General features: G+C 60.4%; 1 protein-coding gene, 1 long non-coding RNA gene and 1 other non-coding gene across 4 annotated transcripts, besides 15 other annotated features; 1 reads left to right on the forward strand and 2 right to left on the reverse strand.

Annotated features, from left to right (window-relative positions):
* Nucleotides 500–1,051: an enhancer, noted in NCBI's record as "H3K4me1 hESC enhancer chr16:2196523-2197074 (GRCh37/hg19 assembly coordinates)". NCBI's record gives its function as "activates a minimal SCP1, AML or CMV promoter by ChIP-STARR-seq in naive H9 embryonic stem cells {active_cell/tissue: H9 hESC(naive)}" and the evidence as "EXISTENCE:reporter gene assay evidence [ECO:0000049][PMID:30033119]".
* Nucleotides 1,604–2,155: an enhancer, noted in NCBI's record as "H3K4me1 hESC enhancer chr16:2197627-2198178 (GRCh37/hg19 assembly coordinates)". NCBI's record gives its function as "activates a minimal SCP1, AML or CMV promoter by ChIP-STARR-seq in naive and primed H9 embryonic stem cells {active_cell/tissue: H9 hESC(naive and primed)}" and the evidence as "EXISTENCE:reporter gene assay evidence [ECO:0000049][PMID:30033119]".
* On the forward strand, nucleotides 2,122–8,143 carry RAB26 (RAB26, member RAS oncogene family). Of its 2 annotated transcripts, NM_001308053.1 has the most exon segments (10): nucleotides 2,122–2,302; nucleotides 2,770–2,956; nucleotides 3,919–4,029; nucleotides 5,547–5,588; nucleotides 5,673–5,739; nucleotides 5,834–5,886; nucleotides 6,798–6,863; nucleotides 6,967–7,023; nucleotides 7,124–7,200; nucleotides 7,297–8,143. In NM_001308053.1, coding segments are annotated over 8 exon segments (573 nt in total). In that variant the 5' UTR covers nucleotides 2,122–2,302; nucleotides 2,770–2,956; nucleotides 3,919–3,921; the 3' UTR covers nucleotides 7,400–8,143.
* Nucleotides 2,156–2,705: an enhancer, noted in NCBI's record as "H3K4me1 hESC enhancer chr16:2198179-2198728 (GRCh37/hg19 assembly coordinates)". NCBI's record gives its function as "activates a minimal SCP1, AML or CMV promoter by ChIP-STARR-seq in naive H9 embryonic stem cells {active_cell/tissue: H9 hESC(naive)}" and the evidence as "EXISTENCE:reporter gene assay evidence [ECO:0000049][PMID:30033119]".
* Nucleotides 2,244–2,293: a silencer, noted in NCBI's record as "silent region_7027". NCBI's record gives its function as "represses an Ori minimal core promoter by ATAC-STARR-seq in GM12878 lymphoblastoid cells {active_cell/tissue: GM12878}" and the evidence as "EXISTENCE:reporter gene assay evidence [ECO:0000049][PMID:35858748]".
* Nucleotides 2,304–2,573: a silencer, noted in NCBI's record as "silent region_7028". NCBI's record gives its function as "represses an Ori minimal core promoter by ATAC-STARR-seq in GM12878 lymphoblastoid cells {active_cell/tissue: GM12878}" and the evidence as "EXISTENCE:reporter gene assay evidence [ECO:0000049][PMID:35858748]".
* Nucleotides 2,584–2,673: a silencer, noted in NCBI's record as "silent region_7029". NCBI's record gives its function as "represses an Ori minimal core promoter by ATAC-STARR-seq in GM12878 lymphoblastoid cells {active_cell/tissue: GM12878}" and the evidence as "EXISTENCE:reporter gene assay evidence [ECO:0000049][PMID:35858748]".
* Nucleotides 2,706–3,257: an enhancer, noted in NCBI's record as "H3K4me1 hESC enhancer chr16:2198729-2199280 (GRCh37/hg19 assembly coordinates)". NCBI's record gives its function as "activates a minimal SCP1, AML or CMV promoter by ChIP-STARR-seq in naive and primed H9 embryonic stem cells {active_cell/tissue: H9 hESC(naive and primed)}" and the evidence as "EXISTENCE:reporter gene assay evidence [ECO:0000049][PMID:30033119]".
* Nucleotides 2,764–2,933: a silencer, noted in NCBI's record as "silent region_7030". NCBI's record gives its function as "represses an Ori minimal core promoter by ATAC-STARR-seq in GM12878 lymphoblastoid cells {active_cell/tissue: GM12878}" and the evidence as "EXISTENCE:reporter gene assay evidence [ECO:0000049][PMID:35858748]".
* Nucleotides 2,944–3,073: a silencer, noted in NCBI's record as "silent region_7031". NCBI's record gives its function as "represses an Ori minimal core promoter by ATAC-STARR-seq in GM12878 lymphoblastoid cells {active_cell/tissue: GM12878}" and the evidence as "EXISTENCE:reporter gene assay evidence [ECO:0000049][PMID:35858748]".
* Nucleotides 3,094–3,163: a silencer, noted in NCBI's record as "silent region_7032". NCBI's record gives its function as "represses an Ori minimal core promoter by ATAC-STARR-seq in GM12878 lymphoblastoid cells {active_cell/tissue: GM12878}" and the evidence as "EXISTENCE:reporter gene assay evidence [ECO:0000049][PMID:35858748]".
* Nucleotides 3,258–3,809: an enhancer, noted in NCBI's record as "H3K27ac-H3K4me1 hESC enhancer chr16:2199281-2199832 (GRCh37/hg19 assembly coordinates)". NCBI's record gives its function as "activates a minimal SCP1, AML or CMV promoter by ChIP-STARR-seq in primed H9 embryonic stem cells {active_cell/tissue: H9 hESC(primed)}" and the evidence as "EXISTENCE:reporter gene assay evidence [ECO:0000049][PMID:30033119]".
* Nucleotides 3,810–4,361: an enhancer, noted in NCBI's record as "H3K27ac-H3K4me1 hESC enhancer chr16:2199833-2200384 (GRCh37/hg19 assembly coordinates)". NCBI's record gives its function as "activates a minimal SCP1, AML or CMV promoter by ChIP-STARR-seq in naive H9 embryonic stem cells {active_cell/tissue: H9 hESC(naive)}" and the evidence as "EXISTENCE:reporter gene assay evidence [ECO:0000049][PMID:30033119]".
* Nucleotides 4,362–4,911: an enhancer, noted in NCBI's record as "H3K27ac-H3K4me1 hESC enhancer chr16:2200385-2200934 (GRCh37/hg19 assembly coordinates)". NCBI's record gives its function as "activates a minimal SCP1, AML or CMV promoter by ChIP-STARR-seq in naive and primed H9 embryonic stem cells {active_cell/tissue: H9 hESC(naive and primed)}" and the evidence as "EXISTENCE:reporter gene assay evidence [ECO:0000049][PMID:30033119]".
* Nucleotides 4,912–5,463: an enhancer, noted in NCBI's record as "H3K27ac-H3K4me1 hESC enhancer chr16:2200935-2201486 (GRCh37/hg19 assembly coordinates)". NCBI's record gives its function as "activates a minimal SCP1, AML or CMV promoter by ChIP-STARR-seq in primed H9 embryonic stem cells {active_cell/tissue: H9 hESC(primed)}" and the evidence as "EXISTENCE:reporter gene assay evidence [ECO:0000049][PMID:30033119]".
* A 616-nt stretch (nucleotides 8,144–8,759) lies between the features above and the next one.
* On the reverse strand, nucleotides 8,760–9,336 carry SNHG19 (small nucleolar RNA host gene 19). Its single transcript, NR_132114.1, has 2 exons — nucleotides 9,121–9,336; nucleotides 8,760–8,900 (listed from the first exon to the last, which is right to left on the reverse strand). It is a non-coding gene; the product is annotated as a small nucleolar RNA host gene 19 (long non-coding RNA).
* On the reverse strand, nucleotides 9,001–9,083 carry SNORD60 (small nucleolar RNA, C/D box 60). The gene has a single exon (NR_002736.1). It is a non-coding gene; the product is annotated as a small nucleolar RNA, C/D box 60 (small nucleolar RNA).
* Nucleotides 9,125–9,324: an enhancer, noted in NCBI's record as "active region_10255". NCBI's record gives its function as "activates an Ori minimal core promoter by ATAC-STARR-seq in GM12878 lymphoblastoid cells {active_cell/tissue: GM12878}" and the evidence as "EXISTENCE:reporter gene assay evidence [ECO:0000049][PMID:35858748]".

Below are 9,759 nucleotides of genomic sequence, written 5' to 3' on the forward strand. Positions count from 1 at the left end.
TTTCTCTCTCGTGTCGGACTCTAGCTCAATCCTCAAAGCCCAGTGCAAACCCTCCCTCCCCCAGAAGCCTTGCCCTCACTACTGATCACACTTGCCTTAAATCTTTGTTAGCAAGGACATGTCCTCCTGAAGTGAGGCCTGTGTTTCTAAGTCACATTTCTTTCTCTTTTCTTTTCTTTCTTTTTTTTTTCCCCAGAGTCTCGCTCTGTCACCCAGGCTGGAATGCAACAGCACAATCTCAGCTCACTGCAACCTCCTCCTCCTGGGGTCAAGCGATTCTCCTGCCTCAGCCTCCCGAGTAGCTGGGATTACAGGCGTATGCCACCAGGCCCAGCTAATTTTTGTATTTTTAGTAGAGACGGGGTTTCACCATGTTGGCCAGGCTGGTCTCAAACTCCTGGCCTCAAGTGATCTGCCTGCTCAGCCTCCCAAAGTGCTGGGATTACAGGCGTGAGCCACCACACCTCTTTCACCAATTTAATAACTGCTTATGGAGGCCCAGAGCTGGCTGCTGGGGACAGCAGTTGACCAAGACAAGCTGCTTCCTGTGCCCGGAGAGCTTACACTCCAGAGGGTGAAACAGATGGCAAACACAGCAACCAAGAGACATAATGATCAAAGATTCCGAGGCCTGCTGGAAGCCAAGAGAGGGGTCTGTGATGCAGGCACCCAGAGCTCCCCATTTTCAAGAGAAACCAGAGACTTGGATTTTTATGTAAACTCTCCTAATTTTAAAGGTTGCCAGCGCAAGCCCGTTTCCTCTGCTCTCTCAAGGCTCCCCTCCCCGCCTGGCCTCCCACTTTCTCCAGCGCGCCTGCCTCCTTCTCTTCCTGGGGGCCCCATCCGCACTCCTCCCCCTGCAGGATGCCCTACTTGCACCCAACTCCTCCTGCTGCCCGCGCCCTGGGGGTACCTGAGCAGCAGCTGGCAGGACGGGGTCCACTGGACTGGGAGTCCACTGCCCAGGACCCTGGGGCCAGTGCACAGCAGCTGCTGAGGCCCCCAGCTCAGACCCTGGGCCAGCCATCCTGAAAGAGGCCTTGTAGCGCGGGTGGACACCTGGAGTCCCCAGGGCTGCAGCTGCAGAAGCTAAATGCCTCTACCCAGGCCCAGTGCACACACACTGGGGGTTGGTCTGGAAGAGCTGGGGGGCCAGAGGAGTGAGACAAGGAAGGGTTCTGAGAGGGCTTCCGGGTTTGACCCCCAGCTCTGCCAGGTTCCTGGGGATTAAGTCTACAGGGATTTCTGCCATGGGACGGTTTATGTTCTCTGGAGCTGGAGATCACAGGAACAAATCCTAGCTCTGCCCTTCCTAGCCTGCTGACCTTGCACAGGCTCCTTGCCTTTCTGGGCCTCGGTTTCCCCATCTGGACACTGAGGGCAGTACCCACCTTGCAGGATAACTTTGAAGAGGTCGTGTGCCTGGCACACAACAGTGCTTGCTGTAGGGCAGGCTTCCACGGCCTCTGCCAGGCCCTCTCGAGGAATCACTCTGCTGGGCAGTGCCCCCCATCTGTGTTTTCTCAGGCCTCTGACCCGAGAGGCAGCCAATTGTTTGGACTCTGGGCACTGCCAGCTGGGAGGGCTCAGGTCTCTGAAGGGCCCAAGGTCCTGGTGACAGCTGTCAGGTCTCCGGGGACAGCTGGGTCATCTCTCCAGCTCCCAAAGAAACACCAAGAAGCCCCTGCATGCCAAGGACACCACCCCTCTGGACCACTGTGCCCCAGCTCTGACCACTGCAGTCCCATCTTCTCTGTGAGAGGGGGTGACAGAGCTCCAGTGCAGCCCAGGTTGGGGAGGTGGGTCTGCCAGGGACCAGCTTAGGATTTGGAGAATCGGCCCTGGCCACCTGAAGGTCCGAACCTGGAGGAGAAGGACAAGGGGCCAGCCACACAGCCTGGGCAGGGGCCTCTGCTTTCCACCTTTCAGACCCTGAGGGCAGAGTCCCGTGGGAGGGGACCCTCAGGGGGCCGGGGGCTGGCTGCCACAGCGACTTCCTCCTTCCCGCAGATCCCCAGGCGTGCACAGCAGGCAGAAGCTGTGGGGGAGATCGCAGCGCCCGCTGTGTCCTCCCGGTGACCAGCTGTCACCTGAGCCCAGGGCGCCTGCCCCAGCAGCCTGGTGTGTTTGCCAAGCCAGGGCTGGAGCTTCCTGGACCCGCCTACCCTGGAGGGGATGGAGCAGTGAAGGGCACCGGGCCAAGCGCTAGGCATCTGGGGCTAAGGAGACAGAAGCCCGCGGTGCCCGTCCATGCGGGCCCTCTGCCCCAGCACCCACATCTCAGGACACCCCTTCCTCCCAGGTCTGGCGGTCCAGTTTGGGGGTCACCGAGCTGGGGTGGTGTGCAGCCAGCAGAGGGGATTCAGGATCCCGGGGTGACTCCTGGCCCAGGCCTGTCACCCCACAGCTGGCTCCTGGCCCCAAGGCAGCCACGGGCAGGGGTCGTGATCGGGGGCGGGACGGGGCCCGGACCTCCTGACCGCCCCCCACCCCCCGCCGAGCGGGGGTGTATTTGCATGTCCCCGCCCCACGCACGGCATTGGCGGCGGCGGCGGGAGGCCGGGCCTGAGTGGCTGCGCGCCCGTGGAGCGGCGGGGGCGGGGCGCGAGCCGGGCGCCCGGGATGATGCCGCCGCCGCCGCCGCCGCCGCCGCCGCCGCCAGGGGAAGGGTTCGGGTCCGGGTCGGGCTCGGCGGGCGCGGGGTGCGGGACGGCCCAGGGCACGGCGGCTGCAGCGGGAGCACACTGAGCGCCCGCCCGCCATGTCCAGGAAGAAGACCCCCAAGAGCAAAGGGGCCAGCACCCCCGCTGCCTCCACGCTGCCCACCGCCAACGGGGCCCGACCGGCGCGCTCCGGGACTGCGCTTTCCGGCCCCGACGCGCCGCCCAACGGGCCCTTGCAGCCCGGCCGGCCCTCGCTTGGCGGCGGTGTCGACTTCTACGACGTCGCCTTCAAGGTGAGCCAGGCACCCGCCCCCCAGGCCAGCGCAGCAGGTGGCGCCCGGCCTGAGCCAAGGGTTGGGGGTCGGACAGGGGGTGCAGGGCCCGCGGCCCCAGGGCGCGGAGCCGACGCGGGAGGAACCCCGTGGGGCTTGCACGGTGCATCGTGCACACACAGCTGTCCATCCCAGGTCTGGGGTATCCAACAGCTGGCAGGGCCTGTCCCCCACCCCCCAGGCGGCATGGTGGCACAAGGGGTCCCGCGCCCCAGTGCCCTGGCCCCCGCCCGGGGTCTCACCATTTCCCGTATGCTGCCCTCCCTCAACCCAGCGGCTGTGGGCCTTTTTTTTTTTTTTTTTTTTTTGCTGGGGGGAAGAGGTTTGCCAGATGGATGGGGAACCCTGGGACTCCAGACCAAGGCAGAGGCTGTGTGGACTTGGCAGGGGGCTGGGAGGACCATTTTGGGTTTGGTAGCACAGGTTTCGGGGAGAAGGCCTGACTGCTGCCCACTTGCACCTCCCCCCAACCTCAGACTTGGCCCAGGTCCCTCTTCAGATCGAGATCTGATCCTAATGGGGCAAATTCCTCGAGCCTTGCTGGGGTCATGTCCCTACTGGGATGTGGAGAAGCCCCCGGCAGAGGCCTCCCCAAGTCTCTTAGGAGGTACCCAGCTGCCACCCCACCTGCTCCCCTCCCAGATGCTGTCCACCGTGTGGGGGTATGGACGTTAGGGAGGGTCCGGGATGCAGGTGGCTGCCCTCACTCCCCGCTGACTGAGACGGCCACTGTGCAGAAGGACAGAGCAGCCCCAGCCTTTCAGAGGCATACGCTGGGTGTCCAGCCCATCGGGGTCCCTGGCCCCGCTGAGCCTGCAGGCCTGGGCTGCCTCCCTCCACTCCTGCTCCTCACCTGCAGCCCCCTTCTGACCAGGCCAGCTCAGGGCAGACCAGACTCCCCCCAACCCTCCTGCTTGTCCTAGGTCATGCTGGTGGGGGACTCGGGTGTGGGGAAGACCTGTCTGCTGGTGCGATTCAAGGATGGTGCTTTCCTGGCGGGGACCTTCATCTCCACCGTAGGCATTGACTTCCGGGTGAGTGGAGGCCCTGGCCTGGCCCCACATCAGAGTCCCGCCGGTACCCGAGCAGCAAGTTCTCTCTGATCCCCATGGTACCAACAGGCTCGAGGCCTGGACCCCAGAAGCTGCCTGCCTCGACCTTCCAACACCTGGGCTGGTGGCTGCACCCGACAAGCATAGTTAGTTGCCCTATGCCAGGGGCTGGCATTACCGAGGGACCATATCCTGTGCCTTGGGGGAGGCGGACACTGTTGCCTACAGGGTGGTGGGTCAGAGGAAGTCAAGGGCCACGTCCACTTGGGGCCAGCAGTGCTGCCTCGGTACAGAGGCCTTACTGGGCCCTAGAAGCACATGCTCCCTGCAGAGCCTGAGCGAGGGTTTCCAGGGCTTGCCTAGGGGAGAGGACCCTGCTCTTGGGTGAGGAGCGCCCACCCCCACCCCCACCAGCTGGAATTCCTCGTGCTGAGGTGCCGGCTTGTCCTCAGCAAATCTTAAATTTGCATTTTTCTCACCCTTTAATTAGAGCCAGTTAGAGGGAGGATGGAGGAAGGGCTGTTCCAGGGACAGGAAAAGGGGCTCCCTCCAGTCTGGGGGTTCCAAGTCCCCTCAAGTCCTCTGGGATGGAGTGACGACTGAAGTGCCCGAGGGGGGCAGGCCAGTCCTGTCTGGTCCCCACTTCCCCACCTCCCTCTTGGCTCTCGGGCAGGTGGTAAGAGGTGAGGCCATTTGGTTCGCACTCTCGTTCAGGGTGCCAGGGAAGGCGGTGTCCTCCCCAGCCCAGCAGATGGCCCTGCCTGGTTCCCGGGAGACCCAGAAGCACTCTGACAGCAGGAGCTCAGGCTGAAGGAGGTGGCACAGGTTCCAGCTGCCCAGGGCCTCAGACTGCGGCTGAAGCCCCCCGCCCCCACCCCAACAGATGGGACTGGGGCTAGACCACTCCCTGCCTTACGTCTAATCGTTAACTGGGAGGGCCCGGCTGGGGACGCTGCCAGGCAGTTCTGGGATCTGCGGTTACTGCCTTGGGTCAGACAGGCCCAGGCCCAGCCCTGACAATCCCAGCAAGGAGTGGCTTTAATTTTTTATTCTTTTGAAGCAGGGTCTCACTCTGTCGCCCTGGCTGGAGTGCAGTGGTGATCATGGTGGACTGCAACCTCCAACTTCTGGGTTCAAGCCATCCTGAGTCTTTCAAATTAGCAAAAAGAGCTACTGGGAAGGCTGAGGCGTTGCAGCTCGTTAGTTACTGCACCCATTTGCAGATGAGGAAACCGAGGCAGTGTCAGTAAGAGGCCTGGTGGGGTCATGAGTTCAAATAAGTCAGCGTAAGAGGCTCTAAGCAGGAATAGTGCAGAGGCTGCCGGGAGAGGCCTGCACTTGCAGGTGTGGGTGAGGTCAAATTGGCTTAAGGGAAGCCTGCAGGGGCTGGGCTGGACCTGGGAGCTGGGAGGTCTCAGGGGACAGGAAGGCAGTGAAGCTAGTGGGACCAGAGGCTGGGCTGGGCCCATGCCAGAGCTGCCTGGTTCTGTCTGTTTCAGAACAAAGTTCTGGACGTGGATGGTGTGAAGGTGAAGCTGCAGGTAAGGTGACTGGCAGAGGACAAGTTGGGGGACAGGGGACACCAGGGAAGGGCTGGACAGCCTGACCAGTGCCTGTCGCTGCAGATGTGGGACACAGCTGGTCAGGAGCGGTTCCGCAGTGTTACCCATGCCTACTACCGGGATGCTCATGGTGAGCCCCTGGGTACCTGGGCTGGTTGGGGCGGGGGTCTGAGCACCTGAGGGTGCAGGTGATGGTGGATGTCCTCACTGCCCTCTGTCCCCAGCTCTGCTGCTGCTCTACGATGTCACCAACAAGGCCTCCTTTGACAACATCCAGGTCAGTGGCTTTCCTGGTGGGGTGAAAGGGCCCTGATAGGGCCTGACCCATCCCAACCTCCTTCTGGTAGATGGCATCAGGGTTCCAAAGGACCCCGCTGAGAGAGGGGAGGGGGAAATGACAGCCTTCTGGGCTGGAGGTGGCCCAAGTGGACCTGAGTGCCATTCCAGCTCCCTCAGCAGGAGGCTTTGTGTAAGGGACCTGTAAGGTGGGCTTCTGTATGTGGTACACGGGGGGTTATCACTTCTAAAGACAGGTATCCTGGCCAGGCATGGCGGCTCACCTGAGGTCAGGAGTTCGAGACCAGCCTGGCCAACATGAGGAAACCCCATCTCTACTAAAAATACAAAAATTAGCCGGGCGTTTTGGCACACACCTGTAATCCCAGCTACTCAGGAGACTGAGGTTGCAGTGAGCCAAGACTGTGCTACGGCACTCCAGCCTGGACAACAGAGCAAAACTGTCTCAAAAAAATAAAATGGGCTGGGCATGGTGGCTCACACCTGTAATCCCACCACCTTGGGAGGCTGAGGTGGGCGGATCACGAGGTCAGGAGTTGGAGACCAGCCTGATCAACATGGTGAAACCCCGTCTCTACTAAAGATACAAAAAATTAGCTGGGCGTGGTGGTGCGTAACTGTAATCCCAGTCACTTGGGAGGCTGAACCCTCCCAAGGTTCTCTGAACCCCAGGAGAATAGCTTGAACCCAGGAGATGGAGACTGCAGTGAGTCGAGATGGAGCCATTGCACTCCAGCCTGGGAAACAGGGCGAGACTCTTGTCTCAAAAAAAAAAAAAAAAAAAAAAAGATAAAGACAGGTGCCCTCTACAGTGTGACCTGGAGGGCCAAAGTTCTGGGGCATGGGGCAAGCCATGCAGGGAGCCCCAGCCTGGTCTGCTGCCTCCCACAGGCCTGGCTGACCGAGATCCACGAGTACGCCCAGCACGACGTGGCGCTCATGCTGCTGGGGAACAAGGTGGGAGGCCCGGCTGTCCTCACCTGGGCCACAGGGCAGGGCAGGTGAGGGGGCAGGGGCCAACCATGGGCCAGCTTTCACCAAGACCCTGTGCCTGGGCCAGGTGGACTCTGCCCATGAGCGTGTGGTGAAGAGGGAGGACGGGGAGAAGCTGGCCAAGGTGAGTCAGGGCAGGGGGGTGGTGAGGGGGTGCCCCTGGAGGCTGCGAGCCTAGGCTGTCCCCGCCAGGCCACCACCTGGCTGGCAGCAGCTGTTTACAGGAGTATGGACTGCCCTTCATGGAGACCAGCGCCAAGACGGGCCTCAACGTGGACTTGGCCTTCACAGCCATAGCAAAGTAAGTCCTGCCAGTCACCAGGACTCCCCCAGCCCAGGGCCTGAATCCTCATTAGAGTCCAGGCCATCGTGTCCCCTTGTCACCCCCACTCCGCAGGGAGTTGAAGCAGCGCTCCATGAAGGCTCCCAGCGAGCCGCGCTTCCGGCTGCATGATTACGTTAAGAGGGAGGGTCGAGGGGCCTCCTGCTGCCGCCCTTGAACCTGGCTGAGCTCAGTCCTCTGGAGGAAGCCGTCCAGTCCCTAGAAGGCTGGACAGAGGGTCTCCAGGCCCTTCTGACTTTGTTGCCCAGTGGCCAACGCCCGAGTGTCTGTTTTCAGGAGCCCCAGGTCAAGCCTTGTCCCTTCCTCCTCCCAGCAACAGTCCCAACAAGCAGGCTTCTGAGAGCCCGTGGCCGCACACTGGCCGCCACGGAAAAGCAGTCTTCTGCACGGGACGGGGAGCGGCAAGTGGACAGACTTTGCCACGGTGCTCTGCTGCCCCCTCCTGGGCACGTCCAGGTGAGGGAGGGCTGGGGCTGGCACCACGCACAGTGCCTAACCCTAGAAAAGCCATGTCTTCAGCCGCACATGCTCAGGCAGCTAAGGGAGGACGCCTGCCCACGCCTGGGACAGAAGGCTTCACTGCTAATCACATCGTGCATCTGTGTGTCCTGGGAGCTGCCTGCTCCCGGCCCACCCTCTAGGAGGCTCTGGCTCAAACAGCAATAGGGTCTTCCTCACTGACCTTGGAGGATGCCTGTGGCCTTGTGATAAAATGTGGGAAATCACAGAAAACACCAGAAACAACAACTGCCAGCCCGGCCTGGCCACAGGTGAGGTCTGTGATTTCCGAGCACGCTCCACCTTGCACTCAACTTGGCCTTTTGATTGCACAAGCCTTTGTTTTCAGTCCTAGTGAATAAAGTTGTGTTTTCTGGAGCGTCTGTCTCATCTGTTGAAAAAAATCCACTTCTAGAGCAGGATGCTGGAGTTTGAGAGACTCAGCAAGGCCCAGAACCCTCAGCAGGTGTGTGGCTACCATTCCTCCATGGCCCATGGCTGCCTCCCTAAGGAGGCACATGGGAACCCTAGGTGGTGTCAACTTCCCTCCACAAATCTCAAAAGCCTTTTTGGACTCACCCTGGGGCAAAAGGCATGAAAAACAGTATTTGACTGGGCGTGGTGGCTCACACCTGTGATCCCAGCACTTTGGGAGGCTGAGGTGGGCAGATCACCTGAGGTCAGGAGTTTGAGACCAGCCTAACACGGAGAAACCCCGTCTCTACTAAAAATACAAAATTAGCCGGGCGTGGTGGTGGGCGCCTGTAATTCCAGCCATTTGGGAGGCTCAGGCAGGAAAATCGCTTGAGGTGGAGGTTGTGCCATCGCACTCCCGCCTGGGAAACGAGCAAAACTCCGTCTCAAAAAAAAAAAAAAAAAATCACGGGCAGAAATGGAGAAGGCAATCCCAAGAGATGAAAAGTCACTGGTAACGAGCTTCCGTTTTCATGTCTGTACCCTTTTCCAAGATTGCCTGTGGATCAGCCAGACCTCTGGGGTGCCAGAATAGGAAAATAAAGACACTTGAGAGAAAACCGAATCAACTCACTACCTTTCTTTATTGCTAAGCACTTCAATAGACACAGCGCCCACCTTACCGCTAGGCCCTCCGGATTGAGGTTTACTTAGGTTCAAAACTTGCAGCCGGCTCGCGACGAAACCTGAAAGTCAGCGCCAAAATACAGACATTAAGTCCCCACTCCTTCGTTTCGGGCAACACCTGTTTCCACTCTCAGCTCCCCGTCAGGAGTGCGCACCCTCAAGCCTCAGTCTTGCTAAATAATCAGACTGCACGTGCAGTTTTCATACGAGGTGTCAGAAGTCAAAGCAATTCATCACAGACTGGGAGAATAAGGGAACCCAAGCCCGGCCCAGTCTTACCTGCAGGTAGCTGAGGGCCTGAGATTCGGGAAGAAACCTTTAAACGCTAAGGGACAAAGTGGTGCGTAGGCCAGGCCTGGACGCCCAGGGACCTGGCCGGCCTGCAGCGTTCGGACGGCCCTCAAAGCCACGCTCGTGGCTCAGTTCGTCCCAAGATCGTAGCACATGGCGAACGTATTAACAAACCTCTTCCCCCTCGGACTCGACCCCGAAAAGACAGGGGCGGGCGAGGCTCAAGCTTTTATAGAAACTGTCCCACCTCTGTCATTGGGCTATCCTGGCGGAAGTGCCCGCCTTCCCCCGCCGCTGGTACGCTCCGCTCCCTGCCGCGTTGTTTCCACCAATCGTACCGTGGCATTTCTTTTGGAGACGGTCTCTCAGACCCAGACCCGAAGCTCCTCCCTTATGCAGAGTCCGTGAAGCCTAACGGTGAGTGACGGATGAACAAAGCCAATCAGACTTCGATCTGCAACATAGAGTGATTCTGAAGCTGCCATTCCCGCCCCGCGACGACGAGGCCGCCGGAAGTCGTAGTTTCGGAAGTGCGGCGCGTGAGGCAGCCGTCCGGGCCCGGAGAGGCGGGGAACTACACGTCCCGGCGGGCGCAGCGGCCTGGCGCTTCCGGCTCGCGCGTCTAGT

This window comes from Homo sapiens, chromosome 16 (assembly GCF_000001405.40).
Source record: "Homo sapiens chromosome 16, GRCh38.p14 Primary Assembly".
Lineage (NCBI taxonomy): Eukaryota > Metazoa > Chordata > Mammalia > Primates > Hominidae > Homo > Homo sapiens.

Coding starts and splice junctions, on each gene's coding strand:
- RAB26 (NM_014353.5), top strand. CDS start 2,762: ATGTCCAGGAAGAAGACCCCCAAGAGCAAAGGGGCCAGCACCCCCGCT. Junction 4,030..5,546: donor CCGTAGGCATTGACTTCCGG/GTGAGTGGAGGC, acceptor TGTCTGTTTCAG/AACAAAGTTCTGGACGTGGA. Junction 5,589..5,672: donor GTGTGAAGGTGAAGCTGCAG/GTAAGGTGACTG, acceptor CTGTCGCTGCAG/ATGTGGGACACAGCTGGTCA.